At 38.1% G+C, this 25232-nt stretch overlaps 1 long non-coding RNA gene across 1 annotated transcript in view, besides 1 other annotated feature; it reads right to left on the minus strand.

Moving 5' to 3' along the window:
- The window catches only part of C1QTNF7-AS1 (C1QTNF7 antisense RNA 1), a 422973-nt gene that overhangs the window by 253689 nt on the left and 144052 nt on the right, over positions 1-25232 (minus strand). The window contains exon 2 of the long non-coding RNA NR_125911.1: positions 4767-4834. This is a non-coding gene — a long non-coding RNA (C1QTNF7 antisense RNA 1). The remainder of the gene's footprint in view (positions 1-4766; positions 4835-25232) is intronic.
- Positions 20299-20936: an enhancer, noted in NCBI's record as "NANOG-H3K27ac-H3K4me1 hESC enhancer chr4:15280553-15281190 (GRCh37/hg19 assembly coordinates)". NCBI's record gives its function as "activates a minimal SCP1, AML or CMV promoter by ChIP-STARR-seq in naive H9 embryonic stem cells {active_cell/tissue: H9 hESC(naive)}" and the evidence as "EXISTENCE:reporter gene assay evidence [ECO:0000049][PMID:30033119]".

The following is a 25232-nucleotide window of genomic DNA, read 5'->3' on the forward strand; positions in this document are numbered from 1 at the left end:
TTTACTTCCTTTTGAATACTACTTTTTTTTTTTTTTCAGACAGAGTCCCCACTCTGTTGCCCAGCCTCTAGTGCAGTGCTACGATCTTGGTTCACTGTAACCTACCTACACTTCCTGGGTTCAAGCAGTTCTCATGCCTCAGCCTCCCGAGTAGCTGGGATTAGAGGCGTGCACCACCACACCTGGATTTTTGTATTTTTGGTAGAGACGGGATTTTGCCCTGTTGGTCAGGCTGTTCTCGAACTCCCGACCTCAGGCAATCCATCCACCTCAACCTCCCAAAGTGCTGGGATTACAGGTGTGAGCCATCACACCTGGGCACTACATTTCTAATACCTTTCCTTCAATGTTTCTACCTTCCTGCCTTCATGCATTTGTGCATACAGTCTCTTCTGCCTAGAAAGCTTATTTGTGCAATGTAGTGGATTCTAATCATATCCAATTTATGTGGACAACACATCATAGCGCTAATTAACAGAAGAACACAACACAACAGTTAGAGATCTATTTAGTGGCAAATGATATTAAAAGTTTTCTCTTGGAGATAGATTCTTAAAGCAGGAGGCAACACAGTAAAGTCCCAGTTAATGCCATGGCACCTCCAATTTCCCAAAGTCTTTACCAGAATACTAATACTGCACATGTTGCAAGGTTCTGCCATTCTCATCATGTGGAGTAGCTGAAGGTCAGAATTTACCGCCCTTCTATCCCTTCTGACTGTTGTTGGAACCCGGGAAATATGCCTACCTGTTAAGAAATGCAAATATGCAAAGTAACCCCAACGTGAGTGTTTTCTACAAAACTGGTTAGTTGGAGGTGAACTATTGCCTATTTTTAGGTATTTGGGTTTTTTTGTTTGTTTGTTTGTTTTTGTTTGTTTGTTTTTTGAGATGGAGTCTCACTCTGTTGCCCAGGCTGGAGTGCAATGGCATGATCTCGGCTCACTGCAACCTCCGCCTCCCGGATTCAAGTGATTCTCCTGTCTCAGCCTCTCGAATGGCTGGGATTACAGGCACTGACCACCGCACCCAGCTAATTTTTGTATTTTTAATAGAGACGGGTTTTCATCATGTTGGCCAGGCTGGTTTCGAACTCCTGACCTCAGGTGATTCACCTGCCTCGGCCTCCCAAAGTGCTCTGAAACTTTCTATTCAGGCATCTCTTCTCACTGTTTGTTCATCTGAGTGGTGCTGGTTCTGAATTTGTTTGAAGGTCAAAGAGCTCATATTCAGGTCCCAACAGCATATTTTAAAGATAGTCTTGAATCCAGTTGATCTTTCACAGAACCTTCTTTCCCAGACACTCCAAGTCATAAACTGCTCTTTCCCTCATCTGAATCCCAAAGTTGTTCTGCTTGATAATATTTTTGTATTTCATATATGGGGAGAGTAGCCACTTCCTGAATGTTTAACAGCAATTTGGTAATAAATATTTCAGGGAGTGACATCAACAAAATGGTGCAGTAGGAGATTCCAGCCCTCATCCCACCATTCTTTGAGCTGAATGTTTGTGTCCTGCCCACCTCCCCCAATACCAAATTCATACATTGAAATCCTGTCCCCCAAGGTGATAGTATTAGAAAGTGGAGCGTTTAGGAAGAGATTAGATCATGAGGGCGGAGCCTCAATATTTGTATTAGAGCCCTTATAAAAGAGATTCCAGATGGATAATTCATCTCATTTACCATGTGATGACACAAGAAGAAGTAGGCAGTCTGCCATCCAGAAGGCAACTCTCACCAGGAGCTGGGCCATGCCGAGACCCTGATATCAGACTTCTAGTCTCAAAAACTGTGAGAATTAAATTTCTGTTGTTTACAAGCCACCCAGCTTATGGTATAGGCATACCTGTTTTACTGCCCTTTGCTTTATTGAGCTTGGCAGATATTACCTTTTCCACAAATTAAAGGTTTGTGACAATCCTGCATCGAACAAGTTTATCTGTCATTTTTCCAACAGCACATTCTCACTTCATGTCACTATGTCGTATATTGGTAATTCTCACAATATTTCAAACTTTTTCATTATTATTATATTTGTATGGTGATATGTGATTAGTGATCTTTGATGTTAGCATTGCAATTGATTGGGAGCAGCACAAATCATACTCATATACGATTGCAAACTTAATCGATAAATGTTGTGTGTGCACGGGCTGCTCCACTGACCAGTAGTTCCCCCATTTATGTTTCTGCTCTTGAGTGTCTCTATTCCCTGAGACACAATGATACTGAAATTAGGCCAATTAATAACCCAGCATGGCCTCAAGTGTCCAAGTGAAAGGAAGAGTCACATGTCGAAACAATTAGCTTAGTGAATAAGGCATGTCAAAAGCCAGGATAAGCCAAAAGCCCATGCCAAACAGCCTCAAGTTGTAAACACAAAGGAAAAGTTCTTGACGGAAATTCAAAGTGCACTCCAGTGAACACAAATGATAAGAAAGCGAGACAGCCTTATTGTTGATATGGAGAAAGTTTTGGTGATCTTAATAGAAGATCAAACCAGCCAAAACATTCCCTTAAGCCAAAGGCTAATCCAGAGCAAAGTCCTAACTCTCTTCAATTCTCTGAAGACTGAAGGAACTGTAGAAAAACATTGTAAGCTAGCAGAGGTTGGTTCATGAGGTTTAAGGAAAGAAGTTATTTTCATAACAAAATTGCAATATTAAACAGCAATTGCTGAAGGAGAAATTGCAGCAAGTTATCCAGAAGATCTAGCTGAGAATATTTACAAAGGTGGCTACACTAAACAACAGATATTTAATATTAATAAAACAGCCTTATATTAGAAGAAGATGCTATCTAAGACTTTGATAGCTAGACAGGAGAAGTCATGCCTGATTTCAAAGCTTTAATTAAAGGACAATCTGACTCTCTTATTAGAGGCTAATGCAGCTAGTGACTTTAAGTTGAAGCCAATGCTCATTTACCATTCTGAAAGTCCTAGGGCCAGTAAGAATTATGCCAAATCTACTCTCCATGTGCTCTATAAATAAAACAACAAAGCTTGGATTTCAGCATATCTGTTTATATCACAGTTTACTGAATATGTTAGAACCACTGTTGAGACCTACTGCTTAGAAAAAGAAAAGATATTCTTTTCAAAATATTACTGCATATTAGCAACGTACCTGATCACCCAAGAGCTCTGATGGAAATGTACAAGAAGATTAATGTTGTTTTTATACCTGCTCACTCAGAATCCTTTCTGCTGCCCATGGATCAAGGAGCAATTTTTACTCTCAAATATTATTTAAAAAGTACATTTATAAGGGTATGGCTACCATAGATGGTGATTCCTCTGATGAATCTGGGCAAAGTAAACTGAAAACTTGGAAAGGATTCACCATGCTAGCTGCCATTAAATTCATTTTATGGGAGGATGTCTAAATATCAGCATTAGCAGAAGTTTGGAAGAAGTTTATTTCAGCTCTCATGGATGACTTTGAGGGGTTTAGGACTTCAACAGAAGAAGCATATGCAGATGTGGCAGAAATAACAGGAGAACTAGAATTTAAAATGAAGCCTCAAGACGTGACTGAATTGCGCAGTCTCATAATAAAACTTGAAAGGGTATGAAGTTGCACTTATAGTCTATGGTCATACCACCCTGAACGTGCCCAGTCTCATCCATGTTGCATTTATGAATGAACAAAGAAAGTGCTTCTTGAAATGGAATCTACTTTTGGTGAAGATGCTGTGAACATTGTTTAAATGACAACAAAAAATGTAAAATATACATATGTTTAGTTGATAAAGCAGCAACAGAGTTTGAGAGGGTTGATTCCAATTTTGGAAAAAGTTCTACTGTGGGTAAAATGCCATCAAACAGCATTGCATGCTACAGGGAAATCTTTTCTGGAAATAAGTCAATTAATGTGACAAACTTTATTGTTGTCTTATTTTAAGAAATTTCCAGTGTCAACCCAACCTCCAGCAATCACCACCTTGATGAGTCAGCAGCCATCAACACAGAGGCAAGGCCCTCTACCAGCAAAAAGATTATGACTCACTGAAGGCACAGATGACTGTTAGCAATTTTTAGCAACACAGTATTTTTTGTTTGTTTTGAGTTTTTTTATTTTATATTTTTTATTTTTGAAACAGGGTCTCTATCACCCAAGCTGGAATGCAGTGGCATAATCATGGCTCACTGCAGCCTCAATCTCCCAGACTCAGGTGATCCTCCCACCTCAGTCTCCTGAACAGCTGGGACTACAGGCATGTGCCACCACACCTGGCTAATTTTTTGTAATTTTCTTTTTCTTTGTAGAGATGGTGTTTTGCTGTGTTTTTCAGCCTGGAATCAAACTCCTAGGCTCAAGCAGTCTTCCCACCTCAGCCTTCCAAAGTGCTGGGATTACAGGCATAAGCCACAGTACTTTATTGTGCCCAGTCAGTAAGGTATCTTTTAATGAGGGTACGTATATTGTTATTTAGACATAATGCTATTTTGCACTTAATTTACTGCAGTATAGTATAAACATAACTTTTATATGCACCGAAAGACCATAACCATTGTGTGACTCACTTTCTTGCAATATTCACTTTAATGCAGTGCTCTGGAATACAACCTGCAATATCTCTGAGGTATGTCTGTATTTTGTTATAGCAGCCCAAACAAACAGATACTCCACATAAACAATAACAACATTCATGGATAAAAATAGCTCTGGGAGAATTGTAAAGTAAAATTAAGAAGCTAGAGCAACACAGTCAAGCACTAAAACTGAGATGGCCACATATAAAAGTGTAGGAAGTATCTTACCTGTGTCACCTTGTCCCCTAGCTGGCACAACTCAGTAACAAAAGGAATCCCCTTGGATGTGGCTTTTCCTTATAGAGGAAAATAAAAATAGAAAACCCCTATCAGCTCTCTCTGCCAAAGACTCCCACAGTCTTCAACAACACAGATCCCAGCTGATGGAATGGCCCAGAAATCATGTTTCTATACTAACCTGGATGCAGAGCAGCTATACATGCCCCTGGCTTCTGGACCTGGCACCACCACCAAACAGCCCCTGGATCCAGTGCCTCCACATGCACACCAGACCCCAGCACTGCTGGAAAACCCATGACCCAGCCCCACTGCATACATACCAGATCCAATGCTACCACACCCCCACTAGACCCAGCACTGCTACATGCCCCCAAACTAGAACGCTTACACATCCTCAGAACCAGTGCCTCAATGCACTCTTGGAACCTGCATCCCTATACATCCCTGGATCTGATGCCAGATCCAACACCACTATGCAGACCAACCAGCCAGTGCCCTTGTGTCCACCTACAGGTAAAAAAATTTTCCTATCAAAGTCAGTCCCCAAAGACTGGAACAGGTGACTGCTCCTCCAAATAGGTAGACACCCATGCAAGGATACACACAAGAAGGAAACATGACACCACCAACAAAAAACAAAAAAATTCCAGTAAACAACCCCACAAAATGGAGATCTGTGAATTGCCTGACAAGGAATTCATAATAATTATTTTTAAAATGCTCAGTGATCTACAAAAGAACACAGATTGACAACTCAACAAAGTCAGGGAAACAATGCATAAAAAAATTAGAAGCTAAAGAAAGACAGAAATCGTTAAAAAGAACTCAATGGAAATTATAGAGCTGAAGAATACAATGAATGAAGTTAAAAATTCATTTTGATCAATAAAATGATCTGTCTTTGAGTTTGCTGATTCTTATCAGTCATAAGAGAAAAAAGAAATGTTAAAAACAATGAAGAAAGACAATAAATTTATGGGACACCATTACACAAACTAATACATGCATTACGAATGCTCGAGATGGATAAGACAAAGAAAAAAAAGAAAATTTATTTAAGAAATAATGACCAAAAGATGATCAAATCAGAAGAAGAAAATGGGCATCCTGATTCAAGAATCCCAAAGGACCTCAAATACATTGAACACAAAGAAGTCTATACTGACAGACATTATAATTAAATTGCCAAAAGTCAAAGTCAAAGAGAGGATTTTGAAAGAAGATAAATGTAACTTGTCTCATATAAGGGAATGTTTTTAAGACTTCCAAAAAATTTCTCAGCAGTAACCTTGCAGGCCAGAAGAGGATGGAATGCTATATTCAAAATACTCAGAGAAAAAATATTCCAGCTAAGGATATTATACCTGAAAAAAATTATCCTTTAAAAATAAAGGAGAGATAAAGTCTTTCCAAGACAAACAAAAACTGAGGGAGTTTGTCATTACTATATCTATCTTACCATATACGCTTAAGGGAGTTACTTAAATTGAAATGAAAACATGCTAAACAGCAATGCAAAAGCATATGAATGTATAAATCTTACTGGTGACAATAAATATATAGACAAATACAGTATAACATAACATCGTAATGGTGGTGCATAAGTTACTTTGAACCCTAGTACAAAACTTAAAAGGTGAAAACCTTGTCGTATATATACGATGTAAAACAAAAAAAAAGAAAACTCTGACTATAAGAACACAAAATGTGAGTACAGTAAGCTACATTTTAGACTTCTTGTATGTGACTAAAGTTGTTGTTTTCAACTTTAAATGGTTAGTTACAATTAAGATATATCACGAAAGCCTTGAGATATCCACAAAGAAAAAAACCTATAATAGAAACACAAAATATAAAGAGAAAAAGTCAAAGCAAATCACTACAAATATTACCATATGATATAGTTTATATATTTGTCCCCATCCAAATCTCATGTTGAATTGTAATCCGCAGTGGCTGAAGGTGGCGCCTGGTGGGAGGTGTTTGGATCAGGTGGGTTGATCCGTTATGGCTTGCTGTTGCCTTCATAATAGTAAGTTCTCAAGAGATCTGGTTGTTTAAAAGTGTGGCATTCTCTCTCTCTCTCTGTCTCTCTCTCTCTCTCTTCTGCTTTAACCATGTGATGTGCCTGCTCCCACTTCACATTCTGCCATGATTAGAAGCTTCCTGAAGCCTCCTTAGAAGCCAAGCAGATGCCAGCACCATGCTTCCTATAAAGACTGCAGAACCATGAGGCAATTATACCTCTTTTTTTTACAAATTACCCAGTCTTAGGTATTTAGAGCAATTCAAGCCTGATACACCATATCACAAAGGAAGAGTACAAGGATAGAAAAAGAGGAACAAAACAACTGTGAAACAAACAAACAAACAAAATCAGTAAAATGGCAATAGTAAGAACTCACTTAACAATTACTTTAAAAGTAAATGCATTAAACTCATCAATCAAAAGGCATAAAATGGCTAAATGTATAAGAAAAGATCCAGTAATATGATGTCTACAAGAGACTCGCCTTAGATTAAAGGATATGCATAGGTTGAAAGTGAAGTGATAGAAAGACATATTCCATGCAAATGGTAACCACAAGAAAGCAGGGGTGGCTATACATAGACAAAACTGTCTCTAGAGATAAAGAAGGACATTATCTGATAATAAATGAGTCAATTTAAGAGTAAGATATAACAATTATAAATAGATATGCAACCAATATCAGAGGACCTAAATAAGTAAAGCAAATATTAACAGATATAAAGGAGAAATTGACATAAATAAAATAATAGCAGGAGACTTCAAAAGCCCACTTTAAATAACAGATAGAACATCTAATCATAATATCAATAAAGAAATAGCTGACCTGAACAACATTACAGACCATACGGACTTAGCAGACATATATAGAACTTCCCACCCTACACTAGAAGATACACATTCTTCTCAAGTGGACTTGGAACATTCACCAGAATAGATCATATGCTAGATCACAAAACAAGTTTTAACAAATGTAAAAAGACAGAAATTATTCCAAGTATCTTTACTGACCACAGTCAAATGAAACCAGAAATCAATAACAATCAATAACAGAAATCAATAACAGAAAACTGGAGGTGTACTCAATGTTTAGCTCCCACTTATAAGTGAGAATATGCAATACTTGGTTTTCTGCTTCTGCATTATTTTGCTTAGGATAATGGCCTCCAGTTGCATCCATGTTGCTGCAAAGGACATGATTTCATTCCTTTTCAAGGGTGCATAGTATTCCACGGTGTATATGTTCCACATTTTCTTTATCCAGTTGTTGGATACCTAGGTTGATTCCATGTTTTTGCTATTTTGAATAGTGCTGTAGTGAGCATACAAGTGCATGTGTCTTTTTGGTAGAATTATTTCTTTTCCTTTGGATATATACCCAGTAATGCGATTGCTGAGTCAAATGATTGCTCTGTTTATGCTCTTTGAGGAATCTCCAGACTGTGCTCCACAGTAGTTGAACTAATTTTTATTTCCACCAACTGTGAATTCTCTTTTCTCCACAGCCTTGCCAGTATCATCTGTTTTATTTCTGACTTTTTATTTAGTAGCCTTTTTGAATGATGTGAGATGGTATCTCATAGTAATTTTTATATGCATTTCTCTGATGATTAGTGATGAGCATTTTTTCTTATGTTTGTTGGCTTCCTTGTATATTTTCTTTTGAGCAGTGTCTGTTCAAGTTCTTTGCCCACTTTTTAAAAGGGATATTTTTTGTAATTTGTTGATTTAAGTTCCTTATAGATTCTGGATATTAGAACTTTGTCAGGTGCATAGTTTGCAAACATTTTCTTTCCTTTTACTCTGTTGGTAGTTTCTTTCCTTATGAAGAAGCTTTTTAGTTTAATTTGATCCCACATGTCAATTTTTACTTTTATTGCAATCGCTTTTGGGTAGGTGGCCAAAAATTCTTCGCCAAGGCCAATGTCAATAAGAGTATCTCCTAGGTTTTCTTCAAACATTTTTATAGTTTGAGGTCTTACATTTGAATCTTTAATCCATTCTAAGTTCATTTTTGTATATGGTGAAAGGTAGGGGTACAGTTTCATTCTTCTGCATATGGTTAGTCAGTTATCCCAGAATCATTTATTGAATAGGAAGTCCTTTCCTTATTGCTTTTTTGGTTGGCTTTGTTGAAGATCAAATGGTTGTAGGTGTGTGACTTTATTTCTGGGTTCACTGCTCTGTTCCATTGGTCTGTGTGTTTGTTCTTATACCAGTACCATGCTGTTTGGATTATTGTAGCCTTATAGCAGAGTTTGAAGTCAGGTGGTGTGATGCCGCTGGTTTTCTTCTTTTCGATTAGGATTGTTTGGGCCCTTTGGGTTCATTTTTTGTTCCATTATATGAAAAATGACTTTGATAGTTTGATAGAAATTGTGTTTAATGTGTAAATGGCTTTGGGCAGTAATGCCATTTTAAAGATATTGATTTTTCCATGAGAATCATCTCATTACAAGGAGCTTTTCCAAACTTGTCAAGAGGCCAAGAGCCAAGGCTTGCTGGTCCCTCCCCTGAGAATGGGCCTGGGTCTTAAAGTAGCACTGTTTCCTCCCATCCATTCAGGACTATTGAGCTGCCAGGCTGTGTTTACCCATCCACTGATCTCAACTCTATCTGATGATCTTTGAGGTCAGTGGATCCAAGGGAGCTGCTCCCCGGGCTGCAGTGCCTTTACTTTCACATGCTAGACACAGCAGTCAGCTCTTTCATGGTTGATTCTTTCATATCTAATGAATATTGCAGATCCTGGAACACACCAAGAAATGTGAGATTTCCCTTCTCTTCACAGAAAGTTGGATTCTCTCTCATTAATGGTGAAAGAAATGCTGTACTTGAGAGCCTCATATCTTCCTCAAGTTGAAACACTATCAAACAACATTTCTCAAGACAATGCTTTCTAAATATCATTTATATGTTAATCTTTGGTATGGTTTGGCTGTGTCCCCACCCAAATCTCATCTTGAATTGCAGCTCCCATAATTTCCACATGTTGTGCAAGGGACGTCGTGGGAGATAATTGAATCATGGGGTTGGGGCTTTCCCATGCTATTCTCATGATAGTGAATAAGTCTCAAGAGATACGATAGTTTTAAAAATGGGAGTTTCTCTGCACAAGCTCTCTTATCTTGTCTTCTGCCATGTGAGATGTGGCTTTCACCTTCTGCCATGAAAGTGAGGCCTCCCCAGCCATGTGAAACTGTGAGTCCATTCGATCTCTCTTTTTTTTGTAAATTGCCCAGTCTTAGGTATGTCTTTATCAGCAGCGTGAAAACAAACTAATATAGTAAATGGGTACCAGTAGAGTGGGGTACTGCTGTAAAGATACCTGAAAATGTGGAAGCAACTTTGGTACTGGGTAACAGGCAGAGCTTGAAACAGTTTGGAGTGTTCAGAAGAAGATAGAAAAATGTGGGAAAGTCTGGAACTCCCTAGAGATTTGTTAAATGGCTTTGACCAAAATGCTGATAATGATATGGACAATGAAATCCAGGCTGAGGTGGTCTCAGATGCAGATGAGAAACTTGTTGGGAACTGGAGCAAAGGTGACTCTTGTTACGTTTTAGCAAACAGACTGGTAACAATTTGCCCTTGCCCTAGAGATTTGTGGAACTTTGAATTTGAAAGAGATGATTTAGGTTATCTGGTGGAAGAAATTTCTAAGCAGCAAAGATTTCAAGAGATGACTTGGGTGCTGTTAAAGAAATTCAGCTGTAAAAGGGAAACAGAGCATGAAAGTTCAGAAAATGTGCAGCCTGACAATGTGATAGAAAAGAAAATCCCATTTTCTGTGGAGAAATTCAAGTCAGCTGCAGAAATTTGCATAAGTAATGAGGAGCCAAATTTTAATCACCAAGACAATGGGGAAAATGTCTCCAGGACATGTCAGAGGCCTTTGTGGCTGCCCCTCCCATCACAGACCCAGAGGCCTAGGAGGAAAAAATGGTTTTGTGGGCCAAGCCCAGGGTCCCTCTGCTGTGTGCAGTCTAGGGACTTGGTGTCCTGCATTCCAGCTGCTCCAACTGTGACTTAAAGTTTCCAAGGTCCAGCTTGGGCCGTGGCTTCAGGTGGTGTAAGCCCAAAACCTTGGCAGCTTCCACATGGTATTGAACCTGCAGGTGCACAGGAGTCAAGAATTGAGGTTTAGGAACCTCCACCTAGATTTCAGAGGATGTATGGAAACATTTGGATGTCCAGGCAGAAGTTTGCTGCAGGGGCAGGGTGCTCATGGAGAACCTCTGTTAGGGCAGTGCAGAAGGGAAATGTAGACCCCCCCACAAGAGTCCCCACTTGGGGGCTAGCTAGTGGAGCTGTGAGAAGAGGGCCACTGTCCTCCAGACCCTAGAATGGTAGATCCACGGACAGTTTGCACTGTGCACCTGGAAAAGACACAGGCACTCAATGCCAGCCCATGAAAGCAGCTGGAAGGGAGATTGTACTCTGAAAAGCCACAGGTGCAGAGCTGCCTAAGACCACGGGAACCCACCTTTTGCACCAGTGTGACCTGGATGTGAGACATGGAGTCAAAGGAGATCATTTTGGAACTTTAAGATTTCACTGCCCTGCTGGATTTTGGACTTGCATGGGGCCCATAGCCCCTTTGTTTTGGCCAATTCCTCCCATTTGGAATGGGTGTATTTACCCAATGCCTGTACCCCCATTGTATCTAGGAAGTAACTAACTTGCTTTTGATTTTACAGGCCCATAAGTGGAGGGGACTTGTCACAGATGAGATGTTTGACTGTGGACTTTTGAGCTAATGCTGAAATGAGCTAAGGCTTTGGGGAATGTTGGGAAGGCAAGATTGGTTCTGAAATGTGAGGACATAAGATTTGGAGGGGCCAAGAGTGGAATGATATGGTTTGGCTGTGTTCCCGCCCAAATTTCATTTTGAGTTATAGCTCTCATAATTCCCACATGCTGTGGGAGGAACCTGATGGGAGATAATTGAATCATGGGGGCAGGGCTTTTTTGTGCTATTCTTGTGATAGTGAATAAGTCTTGAGAGATCTGATGATTTTAACACGGGGAATTTTCTTACACAAGCTCTCTTCTCTTTTCTACTGTCATGTGAGACTTGCCTTTCCCCTTCCACCATATTTGTGAGGCCTCCCCAGCCACATAGAACTGTGAGTCCATTTAACCTCTTTCTTTTGTAAATTGCCCAGTCTCAGGTATGTCTTTATCAGCAGTGTGAAAATGAACTAAAACAATCTTATAAGTGAAAAATTTATATTCTATTCCCTATAAACTTATTGCATTATACTTTCAAAACATATGCAGTTTATCAATAAAGACTTTTAGTACACTATAGCAAAAAAAAAAGAAAAAGAAAATGGAAAATTCACAAATACATGGAAACTAAACAGCACTCCCATAAGCAACCATTGGGTCAAAGAGGAACTCAAAAGAGAATTTTGAAAATATTTCAAGGCAAATGGAAATAAAAACAAAATATACCAAAATGTATGAAATGCAGCTAAAGTAATACTAATAGAAAACTTGATTCTGATCAATGCCTACATTAAAAAAGAAAAAAACTAACTCAAATAAACATCTTAACTTTATATCTTGAGGAACTAGAAAAACAGGAACAAAGTCCAAAGTTAGCAGAAGCAAGGACATAATATATGTTAGAGAAGAAATAAATCAAATAGAGAATAGAAAAACAATTGAAACACTGATGCAACTAAGATTTTTTTCAAAAAGATAGACAAAGGTGACAAGCCCTTATCTAGACAAACTAAGAAAATAGAGACAAGACTCAAGTAAATAAAAATAAATTTAAAAACATAAGAAATTATTAGGTACAATTATATGCCAATATATTGGATAACCTAGAAGAAATGGACAAATCCCTAAGAATGTATGATCTACAAGACTGAATGAAGAATAAATAGAAAGTCTGAACAAACCAATAATATATAAGGAGATTAAATCAGTAATCAGAAACCTCTCACCCTCTAAAAAGCCAAAGACCAGAAGGCTTCACAGGTGCATTCTACTAAACATTTAAAGAAGAATTAGTACCAATTTGTCATAAATCCTTTTTAAAAAAATAAAAGAATAAGAAACACTTTCAAACTTATTTAATGAGGCTAGCATTATCCTGATACTAAGGCAAACAAATACATCACAAGAAAAGAAAATGATAGGCAAAATATCCCTAATAAACAAAGATGTAAAAATTCTTAGTAAAATACTAGCAAACCAAGTTCAACAGCACATTAAAATGATTACATAACATGGCCATGTGGGATTTATCCTTGAAATGTAAGGATAGCTAAGCATATAAAAATCAATCAATGTTATACAACACATTAAAAGAATGAAGACTAAAAATCACATTATCGTCTCAATTGATGCAGAAAAAGCTTTTGACAACATTCAATGTTCATTTGTGATTAAAAAAAAACCTCAGCAAAAGAGGTATGAAAGTAATCTACATCAACATAATAAAGGCAATATATGAAAAGCCCACAACTAGCAACACAATTAATGGGAAATAACTAAAAGCTCTTTCTCTAAACTAAGCTCCAGTACAAGTCAGGGATGCTCACTGTCACCACATCTACTCAACCTAATACCAGAAGGCCCAAGCAATTAGACTAAAAAACAAATAAAGAGCATTCAGATCTGAAAGGAAGATATATCATTATCTATGCTGGTAGAAAACACAATCATATATATAGGAAATTATAAAAACTCAATAACAACAACAAAAAACTATTATGGCTAATAAATATATTCAGTAAAATTACCAAATACAAAATCTTCATACAAAAATCCGTAATATTTCTCTATACAAACAATAAACTATCTAAAACAATTAAGAAAACAAACTTGTGTAAAATAGCAACAGAAAGAATAAAATAGGAATAAGCTTAATCAAATAGTTGAAAGCCTTGTACATTGAAAATTATAAAACACTGATTAAGTAAATTTAAAAAGACACAGATGAATAGAAAGATATTCTGTGTTCATGGATTAGAATAATTAATATTGTTAAAGTGTTCATACTTCCCAAAGTGATCTACATATTCCATGTAATTACTATCAAAATCCCAATGGCATACAACAGATAAACAAAAAATAAAAAGCAAGAAATTAAAGCATATCACCAGAGAAAATCACCTTCACTAAAAAGAAGATAGAAAGGAAAGAAAGAAGGGAAGACCAAAAAACAACAAGCAAACAAAGAAAAAAATTGGCAGAACTAAGTCCTTACTTATCAATAATAACATTGAATGGAAATGGACTAAAGTCCCCAGTCAAAAGAAATAGTGTAGATGAATGGATAAAAAAATAAAGACCTGATACTCTGTTGCCTACAAGTAACACACTTCACCTATAAAGACACATATAGATTGAAAATAAAGAAATAGAAAAAGATATTTCATGCCAGTGGAAACCAAAAAAAAGCAGGAGTAGCCATATTTACATCGGACAAAATAGATTTCAAGATAGAACCTATAAGGAGAAAGAAAGAAGGTCACTATATAATGATAAAGGGGTCAATTCAGCAAGATAATGTAATGATTAGTAAGGACTCACTCCTGCCCATTATTTTGTTTGCTGGTTGTTTTGTGGTCTTCCCTTCCTTCTTTCATTTCTTTCTATCTTCCTAGAAAGGAAGGAATACTTCTAAAGTTTTATTATGAGGCCAGTATTACTGTGATACCAAAACCAGGCAATGACACATCAAAAAAAGAAAACTGCAGGCCAGTATCTCTGATTACTTTTGATGCAGAAATCCTCAACAAAATACTAGCAAACTGAATTCAACAATACATTAAGAAGATTATTCATCATTAAGTGGGAGTTATCCCAGGAACGCAAGGATGGTTCAACATATGCAAATCAATCAATGTGATATGCCATATCAACAAAATGAAGGACAAAAACAAAATGACCCTTTCAATTGATGCTGAAAAAGCATTAGAGAAAATTCAACCTGACTTTATGATAAAAAAAAACCTGAAAAAACTGGGTATAGAAAGAATGTACCTCAACATAATAATAGCCATATATGACAGACCCATAGCTAGTATCATACTGAATGGAGAAATACTAAAAGCCTTTCCTCAAAGATCAGGAACAACAAGGATCGCCACTTTCATCACTGTTATTCAACATAATACTGGAAGTCCTAGCTAGAGCAATCACACAAAAGAAATAAAGGGCATCTAAATTGAAAAGGAAGAAGTCAAATTATCCTTGTGTGCAGATGATATGATCTTATATTTGGAGAAACCTAAAGACTCCATCAAAAAACAATCAGAACTAATAAACGAGTTCAGTAAAGTTGCAGGATACAAAATCAACATGCAAAAATCAGTAGCATTTCTATATGCCAACAGTGAGCAAACTGAAAAAGAAATCAAGAAAGTAACCCCATTTACAATAAGTACAAATAAAATAAAATATCTGAAAATTAACATAGCTGAAGAAATGAAAGATCTCACCAATGAAAACTGCGCAACAGTGATGCAAAAATTTGAAGACATTTAAAAAATGATATTCCATATTCATGAGTTGAACGAATCAATATTGCTAAAACATCCATGCTACTCAAAGCAATCTACAGATTTAATGCAATCCCTATCAAAATACCAAAAACGTTCTTCAACAAAATAGAAAAAAACACTCTTAAAATTTATATAGCATCACAAAAGGCCCAAAACAGTTGAAACCATCCTAAGAGAAAAGAACAAAACCAGAGGAATCATATTATCCAACTTTAAATTATACTACAGAGCTATATTAATTAAAATGGCATAGTACTGGCATAAAAACAAACACACAAATTGTTGGAAGAGAACAGAGAATCCAGAGATAAATTCATATATCTACAGTCAACTCATTTTTAACAAAAGTGCCAAGAATATATATTGAGGAAAGGACAGTCTCTTCAATAAATGGTGCTGGGAAAACTGGATATTCATATGCAAAAAAAAAATAGAACCCTATAGCTCACCATACACAAAAATTAAATTAAGGTGGATTGAAGACTTGAATCTAAGACCTCAATCTATGGAACTACTGCAAGAAAACATTGGGGAAATGCTCCAGGACATTGGACTGCAAAAAGATTTCTTTTTTCTTTTCTTTTTTTTTTTTTTTTTTTTTTGAGACAGAGTTTCACTCTGTCACCCAGGCTGGAGTGCAGTGGCGCCATCTCTGCTCACTGCAAGCTCTGCCTCCTGGGTTCACGCCATTCTCCTGCATCAGCCTCCCAAGTAGCTGGGACTACAGGCACCCACCACCACGTCCGGCTAATTTTCTTTTTTTTAGTAGAGACGGGGTTTCACTGTGTTAGCCAGGATGGTCTCAATCTCCTAACCTCGTGATCCACCCGCCTTGGCCTCCCAAAGTGCTGGGATTATAGGCGTGAGCCACTGAGCCTGGCCTGGAAAAAGATTTCTTAAGAAACATCCCACAAGGACAGGCAACCAAAGCAAAAACAGACAAATAGAATCACATCAAATTAAAAAGCTCCTGTACAGTAAAGGGAACAACAAACTGAAGAGACAACCCACAGAATGGGTGAAAATACTTGCAAACTACCCATCTGACAAGGGATTAATAAGCAGAACATACAAGGAGCTCAAACAATTCTACAGGAAAAAAAATCTAACAATCCAATTAAAAATTAGCATAAGATCTGAATAAACATTTCTCAAAAGAAGACATACAATTAGCAAATAGGTATATACAAAGGTGCTCGACATCACTGATCATCAGAAAAATGCAAATCAAAACTACAATGAGATATCACCTCACTCCAGTTAAAATGGCTTTTATCCAAATGTCAGGCAATAACAAATGCTGGTGAGAAATATGGAGAAAAAAGAATCCTCATACAGTGTTGGTGGGAATGTAAATTAATACAAGCACTATGGAGAACAGTTTGAAGGTTCCTCAAAAAACTAAAACTAGAGTTATCATATGACCCAGCAATCCCACTACTAGATACATATCCAAAAGAAAGGAAATCAGTATTTTGAAGTAATATCTTCAGTCCCATGTTTATTTGCAGCACTATTCACAATAGCCAACATTTGGAAGCAACCTGTGTCCATCAACAGAAGAATGGATTTATTAAATGTTGTATTTATATACAATGGAGTACTATTTAGCCATTAAAATGAATGAGATCCTGTCACTGGAGGGCATAGGTTTGGTAAAATAAGCCAGGTACAGAAAGACAAACTTCACATTTTCTTACTTATTTGCGGAGCTAAAGATTAAAATCATTAAATTCATGAAGATAGAGAGCAGAAAGACAGTTGCCAGAGGCTGGGAAGGGTAGCATGGAAAGTGAGGAGGAAATGAGGATGGTTAATGGTTCCAAAAAAGTAGTTAGAATGAACAAGACCTAGTATTTGCTAGCACAACCAGGTCACTATAGTCAAAAATAATTTAATTGTACACTTAAAAATAACTACAGAGTGTAACTGGATTGTTTATAACACAAAGGACAAATGCTTGAGGTGATGTATACCCCATTTCTCATGATGTGATTATTATGCATTGCATGCCAGTATCAAAATATCTCATGTAACCCATAAATACATACATCTACTATGTACCCACAAAAACAAAAACAATATGCCAATGGCACTCTTTATAGAAAAAAAATCCTAAAATTCATATGAAACCACAAAAGACCCCAATAGCCAAAGTAATCTGGAGCAAAAAGATCACAGCTGGAGGCATCACTCTACCTGACTTCAAAACATATACGTCAAAGCTACAGTAATCAAAACAATATGCTACTGGCATAAAAACAGACATATGGCTCAATGGAACAGAATGGAGAACTCAGAAATACATCCATCCATGCATCTGTAGCCAATTGATCTTTGACAAGACTGTTGAGAACACACAATGAAGAAAGAATGGTCTCTTCAATAAATGTTGTTTGGAAAACTGGAGGTCCATATGCAGAAGAAAACAATTGGACTCATCCCATACCATATACAAAGATAAACTAAAAATGGATTAAAGACTTAAACCTAAGACATGACACCATAAAACAGCTGCAAGAAAACATGGACAAAATCCTTTTGGCATTGATCTGGACAATAATATTTTTTATATGATATCAAAAACAAAGGTGACAAATGCAAAAATGGACTGGTAGGATTTCATCAAACCACACCGAGCTCTGCACAGCAAAAGAAACAATTAAAAGATTCAAAAGGTCACCTGCAGAATGGGGGGGCAAATATTTTCAAAATAGATATCTGATAAAGAGTAAGTATCCAAAATATGCAAGTAGCTCATTATATTAGTCTGTTTTCACGCTGCTGATGAATACATACCCAAGACTGGGAAGGACAAGAGGTTTAATTGGACTTACAGTTCCACATGGCTGGGGAGGCCTCAGAATCATGGCAGGAGGTGAAAGGCACTTCTTACATGGTGTTGGCAAGAGAAAATGAGGAAGACGCAAAAGTGGAAACCCCTGATAAACCCATCAGAGTTCATGAGACTTATTCACTATCACGAGAATAGCATGGAAAAGACCTACCCCATGATTCAATTACCTCCCCCTGGGTCCCTCCCACAACACATGGAATTCTGGGAGATACCATTCAAGTTGAGATTTGGGTGGGGACACAGCCAAACCATATCACTCATATAACTCAATAACAAAAAAAATTCTCAATTAAAAAGACAGGCAAAGAGAGACTTCCAGTTTATGTTTTCACATGTGAGGAACTTGAAAATTCCCACTCTAGTATAACAAGAAGTAAAAAAGTTCAGCAGCCTGAAAAAATTAACAACTCTTATTTAATCTACAAGAAAGATGAGGACACACGGCAAACCACTGCCCCCAAGATTGAAGAGACAGACAGGTGAATACAGACAGTCACAGTTTACTAGAGAAAAGAATCAGGAGTGGGAACCACCTAAGGAGCTGTAATAAAACCTTACCTGAAATTGATGAATTGCTAGCAGCACAGTGTGGACCAATCTGAGACTTTAAAACTCTGGAGGCAGCAGGGGGTGGTCAGTCATATGGGGATCCCCACAATTTTGTGAGTTTTATCTCCAGGAACTGAACTAGGTTCTCACAGTAAATATCAGAGAAAATATCCTCTTGCTTCTGCCAGAGGAAGAAGAAGAACCCTTTTGAAGTACATCACAGCACTCTATTCTTTTTACCAAGGTCTGCCCTCAAGAGAAATTATTTAACAAAACCCTAACCTACTGGGGTTTTATCAGTGCCTAGCTCAGGTGGTAAAAGGGAAATACCTGACTCCAGCCAGTTTTAGTCATTCTGTCCCACTTAAGGGAACCAGAGAGAGAAACTGAGGAGCACTAGTAAAGCTTAGAGTACAAAAGTTAAAAGACTGAGACCTGATAATAGAACTATGAAACACTTTCCTCACCTCGGCACTTTACTACCACATTCCTAAATGCATAGTACCCAGTACATGATGTCTAACTATCAAAAAAGAAAAAAATGTGCAAGCCTTACTAAAAGGCAAAAAAAGACAATTTGAAGAGACAAGCATTAGAACAAGACATGACAGAAATGTCTGAATTATCATACTGGAAATTTAAAACAATAGTGGTTAGTATGCTAAGGAAATGTAAGCAGATGAGAAATGTAAGCACAAAGATGGAAATCCTAAGAAAGAACTAAAAAGAAATGCTAGAGATTAAAAAAAAAAAACTGTAGTAGAAATGAAGAACCGCCTTGATTGTCTTATTAGTAGACTGAACATGGCTGAGGGAAAAATCTCTGAGCTTGAGATTTATCAATAGAAAACTTCACAAATAAAAGCAATGAGAACAGAGACTTAAAAAATAGAAAAGCATGTCAAAGGACTGTGAGACTACTATAAAAGTTGTAACATACATTTAACAGAAATACTAAAGGGAGAAGAAAGAGAGAGAGGAACAGAAAAATATTAAAAACAATAAGGAGTGAAAATTTCCTAATATTTATGTCAGACACCAAACCACAGACCCAGAAATTCACAGAACCACCAAGCAAGATAAATGTAAAAACAAAAACAAAAACAAAACTTTAAGCCCTGCACCAAGGCAAATCATTTATATTCAAAACAAAAAATCAAAGATAATAATAAAATTTCTGAAAGAAACTAGAGGCAAAAAACAGACTTTTTTATAAAGGAACAAAGATAAGAATTGCATCCAATCTCTCCTCAGACACTGTACAAGCAAAAAAAAAAGAGTAAAGAAAAAATATTAGATGGCCGAATAGGAACAGCTCTGGTCTACAGCTCCCAGCCTGAGCGACGCAGAAAACGGGTGATTTCTGCATTTCCATCTGAGGTACCGGGTTCATCTCACTAGGGAGTGCCAGACAGTGGGCACAGGTCAGTGGGTGCGCACACCGTGCACGAGCCGAAGCAGGGCGAGGCATTGCCTCACTCGGGAAGCACAAGGGGTCAGGGAGTTCCCTTTCCTAATCAAAGAAAGGGGGGACGGACGGTACCTGGAAAAATGGGTCACTCCCACCCGAATACTGCGCTTTTCCGACGGGCTTAAAAAACGGCGCACCACGAGATTATATCCCGTACCTGGCTCGGAGGGTCCTACGCCCACGGAGTCTCGCTGATTGCTAGCACAGCAGTCTGAGATCAAACTGCAAGGTGGCAGCGAGGCTGGGGGAGGGGCGCCCACCATTGCCCAGGCTTGATTAGGTAAACAAAGCAGCCTGGAAGCTCGAACTGGGTGGAGCCCACCACAGCTCAAGGAGGCCTGCCTGCCTCTGTAGGCTCCACCTCTGGGGGCAGGGCACAGACAAACAAAAAGACAGCAGTAACCTCTGCAGACTTAAATGTCCCTGTCTGACAGCTTTGAAGAGAGCAGTGGTTCTCCCAGCACACAGCTGGAGATCTGAGAATGGGCAGACTGCCTCTTCAAGTGGGTCCCTGACCCCTGACCCCTGAGCAGCCTAACTGGGAGGCACCCTCCAGCAGGGGCACACTGACACCTCACACTGCAGGGTACTCCAACAGACCTGCAGCTGAGGGTCCTGTCTGTTAGAAGGAAAACTAACAAACAGAAAGCACATCCACACCAAAAACCCATCTGTACATCACCATCATCAAAGACCAAAAGTAGATAAAACCACAAAGATGGGGAAAAAACAGAGCAGAAAAACTGGAAACTCTAAAAAGCAGAGCGCCTCTCCTCCTCCAAAGGAATGCAGCTCCTCACCAGCAATGGAACAAAGCTGGACAGAGAATGACTTTGATGAGCTGAGAGAAGAAGGCTTCAGACGATCAAATTACTCTGAGCTACGGGAGGACATTCAAACCAAAGGCAAAGAAGTTGAAAACTTTGAAAAAAATTTAGAAGAATGTATAACTAGAATAACCAATACAGAGAAGTGCTTAAAGGAGCTGATGGAGCTGAAAACCAACGCTCAAGAACTACGTGAAGAATGCTGAAGCCTCGGGAGCCAATGCGATCAACTGGAAGAAAGGGTATCAGCAATAGAAGATGAAATGAATGAAATGAAGCGAGAAGGAAAGTTTAGAGAAAAAAGAAATGAGCAAAGCCTCCAAGAAATATGGGACTATGTGAAAAGACCAAATGTACGTCTGATTAGTGTACCTGAAAGTGATGGGGAGAATGGAACCAAGTTGGAAAACACTCTGAAGGATATTATCCAGGAGAATTTCCCCAATCTAGCAAGGCAGGCCAACGTTCAGATTCAGGAAATACAGAGAACGCCACAAAGATACTCCTCGAGAAGAGCAACTCCAAGACACATAATTGTCAGATTCACCAAAGTTGAAATGAAGGAAAAAATGTTAAGGGCAGCCAGAGAGAAAGGTCGGGTTACCCTCAAAGGGAAGCCCATCAGACTAACAGCGGATCTCTTGGCAGAAACCCTACAAGCCAGAAGAGAGTGGGGGCCAATATTCAACATTCTTAAAGAAAAGAATTTTCAACCCAGAATTTCATATCCAGCCAAACTAAGCTTCATAAGTGAAGGAGAAATAAAATACTTTACAGACAAGCAAATGCTGAGAGATTTTGTCACCACCAGTCCTGCCCTAAAAGAGCTCTTGAAGGAAGCGCTAAACATGGAAAGGAACAACCGGTACCAGCCGCTGCAAAATCATGCCAAAATTTAAAGACCATCGAGACTAGGAAGAAACTGCATCAACTAACAAGCAAAATAACCAGCTAACATCATAATGACAGGATCAAATTCACACATAGCAATATTAACTTTAAATGTAAATGGACTAAATGCTCCAATTAAAAGACACAGACTGGCAAATTGGATAAAGAGTCAAGACCCATCAGTGTGCTGTATTCAGGAAACCCATCTCACGAGCAGAGACACACATAGGCTCAAAATAAAAGGATGGAGGAAGATCTACCAAGCAAATGGAAAACAAAAAAAGGCAGGGGTTGCAATCCTAGTCTCTGATAAAACAGACTTTAAACCAACAAAGATCAAAAGAGACAAAGAAGGCCATTACATAATGGTAAAGGGATCAATTCAACAAGAAGAGCTAACTATCCTAAATATATATGCACCCAATACAGGAGCACCCAGATTCATAAAGCAAGTCCTGAGTGACCTACAAAGAGACTTAGACTCCCACACATTAATTATGGGATACTTTAACACCCCACTGTCAACATTAGACAGATCAACGAGACAGAAAGTCAACAAGGATACCCAGGAATTGAACTCAGCTCTGCACCAAGCGGACCTAATAGACATCTACAGAACTCTCCACCCCAAATCAACAGAATATACATTTTTTTCAGCACCACACCACTCCTATTCCAAAATTGACCACATACTTGGAAGTAAAGCTCTCCTCAGCAAATGTAAAACAACAGAAATTATAACAAACTATCTCTCAGACCACAGTGCAATCAAACTAGAGCTCACGATTAAGAATCTCACTCAAAACCGCTCAACTACATGGAAACTGAACAACCTGCTCCTGAATGACTACTGGGTACATAACGAAATGAAGGCAGAAATAAAGATGTTCTTTGAAACCAACGAGAACAAAGACACAACATACCAGAATCTCTGGGACGCATTCAAAGCAGTGTGTAGAGGGAAATTTATAGCACTAAATGCCCACAAGAGAAAGCAGGAAAGATCCAAAATTGACACCCTAACATCACAATTAAAAGAACTAGAAAAGCAAGAGCAAACACATTCAAAAGCTAGCAGAAGGCAAGAAATAACTAAAATCAGAGCAGAACTGAAGGAAATAGAGACACAAAAAACCCTTCAAAAAATTAATGAATCCAGGAGCTGGTTTTTTGAAAGGATCAACAAAATTGATAGACTGCTAGCAAGACTAATAAAGAAAAAAAAGAGAGAAGAATCAAATAGATGCAATAAAAAATGATAAAGGGGATATCACCACCGATCCCACAGAAATACAAACTACCATCAGAGAATACTACAAACACCTCTACGCAAATAAACTAGAAAATCTAGAAGAAATGGATAAATTCCTTGACACGTACACTCTCCCAAGACTAAACCAGGAAGAAGTTGAATCTCTGAATAGACTAATAACAGGATCTGAAATTGTGGCAATAATCAATAGCTTACCAACCAAAAAGAGTCCAGGACCAGATGGATTCACAGCTGAATTCTACCAGAGGTACAAGGAGGAGCTGGTACAATTCCTTCTGAAACTATTCCAATCAATAGAAAAAGAGGGAATCCTCCCTAACTCATTTTATGAGGCCAGCATCATTCTGATACCAAAGCCGGGCAGAGACACAACCAAAAAAGAGAATTTTAGACCAATATCCTTGATGAACATTGATGCAAAAATCCTCAATAAAATACTGGCAAACCGAATCCAGCAGCACATCAAAAAGCTTATCCACCATGATCAAGTGGGCTTCATCCCTGGGATGCAAGGCTGGTTCAATATACGCAAATCAATAAATGTAATCCAGCATATAAACAGAGCCAAAGACAAAAACCACATGATTATCTCAATAGATGCAGAAAAGCCCTTTGACAAAATTCAAAAACCTTTCATGCTAAAAACTCTCAATAAATTAGGTATTGATGGGACATATTTCAAAATAATAAGAGCTATCTATGACAAACCCACAGCCAATATCATACTGAATGGGCAAAAACTGGAAGCATTCCCTTTGAAAACTGGCACAAGACAGGGATGCCCTCTCTCATCACTCCTATTCAACATAGTGTTGGAAGTTCTGGCCAGGGCAATTAGGCAGAAGAAGGAAATAAAGGGTATTCAATTAGGAAAAGAGGAAGTCAAATTGCCCCTATTTGCAGATGACATGATTTTATATCTAGAAAACCCCATTGTCTCAGCCCAAAACCTCCTTAAGCTGATAAGCAACTTCAGCAAAGTCTCAGGATACAAAATCAATGTGCAAAAATCACAAGCATTCCTATACACCAACAACAGACAGAGAGCCAAATCATGAGTGAACTCCCATTCACAATTGCTTCAAAGAGAATAAAATACCTAGGAATCCAACTTACAAGGGATGTGAAGGACCTCTTCAAGGAGAACTACAAACCACTGCTCAAGGAAATAAAAGAGGATACAAACAAATGGAAGAACATTCCATGCTCATGGGTAGGAAGAGTCAATATCGTGAAAATGGCCATACTGCCCAAGGTAATTTACAGATTCAATGCCATCCCCATCAAGCTACCAATGCCTTTCTTCACAGAATTGGAAAAAACTACTTTAAAGTTCATATGGAACCAAAAAAGAGCCCACATTACCAAGTCAATCCTAAGCCAAAAGAACAAAGCTGGAGGCATCACACTACCTGACTTCAAACTATACTACAAGGCTACAGTAACCAAAACAGCATGGTACTGGTACCAAAACAGAGATATAGATCAATGGAACAGAACAGAGCCCTCAGAAATAACGCCGCATATCTACAACTATCTGATCTTTGACAAACCTGAGAAAAACAAGCAATGGGGAAAGGATTCCCTATTTAATAAATGGTGCTGGGAAAACTGGCTAGCCATATGTAGAAAGCTGAAACTGGATCCCTTCCTTACACCTTATACAAAAATCAATTCAAGATGGATTAAAGACTTAAACGTTAGACCTAAAACCATAAAAACCCTAGAAGAAAACCTAGGCATTACCATTCAGGACATAGCCATGGGAAAGGACTTCATGGCTAAAACACCAAAAGCAATGGCAACAAAAGCCACAATTGACAAATGGGATCTAATTAAACGAAAGAGCTTCTGCACAGCAAAAGAAACTACCATCAGAGTGAACAGGCAACCTACAAAATGGGAGAAAATTTTCACAACCTACTCATCTGACAAAGGGCTAATATCCAGAATCTACAATGAACTCAAACAAATTTACAAGAAAAAAACAACCCCATCAAAAAGTGGGTGAAGGACATGAACAGACACT

The sequence above is a fragment of the Homo sapiens genome, chromosome 4 (genome assembly GCF_000001405.40).
Source record: "Homo sapiens chromosome 4, GRCh38.p14 Primary Assembly".
Lineage (NCBI taxonomy): Eukaryota > Metazoa > Chordata > Mammalia > Primates > Hominidae > Homo > Homo sapiens.